The following is a 1,865-nucleotide window of genomic DNA, read 5'->3' as shown; positions in this document are numbered from 1 at the left end:
CACCCCTCCCAATCCCACCACTCATTTCTTGCCTGCAAAACAAAATAAGAAAACAGCTCCAAGGTATAGTCAGTCCTCACTGGATGAAGACCCTTTTACCCAAGTTAACTTTCCATTTCCCACTCTCATCTGCTCAGGAATTTTCCCTAAGTTGTGGATTCAAAGCCACATTCTCTGAAGTAAATAAGAAAATAGCCAATTTTTAAAACTGATACAATTACATGCCATTATTCCCCTTTTTACTTTTTCTAGAGTCACTAAACTTCCCCTAAGGTGTCCTGGAAGTAAAACGAGGAAGAGTTTCAAGCCTCTCCCAAATGACTTTGGGGGCAAAGTGACCACCCAAACATGGTCTTCAGTGCCCACTGCAGTCTCTTCCCATGGAGCCCCAGCTCTAGGGGCTGCCATAGCCTCAGCTCTGGAGAACGCTCCTGCCTGAGCCATCACAAGCTTCACACCTCCAACTAAGCACAGCATCAGAGTTCTGGGTGCTGTCACTCATGCAGCAACCAGGGCTCTGAAAACCACAGAGGAGCAGGGCTGGATGATCCAGTGAAGCAAAAGAGAAGCCTCTCTCCAGTGTGATGCTTTTCCTCCTCCATCACCTCTGTATCTCCTGGGTGGAGAAGTTCCATGGAACATTAGGGAAGATGGTAGAGGTGGGGATTCCCTTACAGAATTTACCATTTAAGTTGGAAATCACATATAAACCATAAATCCTAATCTTTAAATAAAAACTTGCATTGATAAATATCTGGATTCCAGCACTCAGTGTGTGCTGGTATTAATAACCCCATCTTTGGCCTAATTTCCAGAAAGACTCTGACTCAGCAGATTGCCCAGGTGTAATGCCAGCCAACACAATATTGTGGTGCCCACTCCAGATTCTGTCAAATGTTCTTGGGTTCTTTCAATGCTCCCATTTATTTTCTCTTCCAACTACCCTGCATCTATCCATTCCACAATAAATAAACCTATTCCATGCCCCCTGGAGAGGAGAACTCTGTCAGAGCCAAAGTTTATTTCTTGAGTACCAAGTATCAGTCACTAACGTGATACACCTGCCTGGGATCTAGCACAGATCTTTTATGTCTCAGTACATTCACTCCTCTCCTTACATTCAGGATAGACAGAATGTTGGGAGAAAACATGGTACAAGAAAAGAATTGTAGCCAAGAATTGGGGAAGAAGATGGCAGATGTTGAATAAAAGGAACTTGGCAAGGGTCAGATTGATCAGGGTCTTCTACTGACTCCCCAAAAGTTTTCCTTTATTCTTTCTCCCCATGGACTACAGGTGAGTAGCACACAGTATTCTCACCATCCAGCACCCAACTTCCTCTCCTCCACCTCTTGACCTAAGATATTCCTCTCCCTAGAAGACTTCCTATCTGGCCCCCAAAATCCCAACATGTCTCCCACCCTCAAGAACTTCCCAGTTTCTACTTCCTATTGCCTTTGCATTACCCACATGTGGTCATTTTGAAGCCCTCAACCAACATCCCTGAACCTGCTTTTTTTTGTCCTTTGTGACATGGAATCTTGGCATTTATTGATTTCATTGATGTTAGAAAAGGTGGAGAATCCCAAAGATGATCCCTTGTTATAAAGACATTGTTAGAACCTTAAAAATAGTATATTAAACCTTATAAACTTGGTCTCATAAAAACAAGAAGCATTGTCTTATCCCATCATTATCTTCTCCTATGCTGTGTTGAATCTCTCCTGAAAATATCTCAGGGAAATTCCACATTTCTGGAGTGAATTTTATGGATATTAAAGTCCAGACCAGCTGAATTTAATTCGGTACGCATCTTCAAACTCAAATTCACCCTTCCCAGTGAGCACTGCCCATGGCTCTCCCAA

The sequence above is a fragment of the Homo sapiens genome, chromosome 1, assembly GCF_000001405.40.
Source record: "Homo sapiens chromosome 1, GRCh38.p14 Primary Assembly".
In the NCBI taxonomy this organism is placed as follows: Eukaryota; Metazoa; Chordata; class Mammalia; order Primates; family Hominidae; genus Homo; species Homo sapiens.
This window is presented reverse-complemented; position numbering follows the sequence as displayed.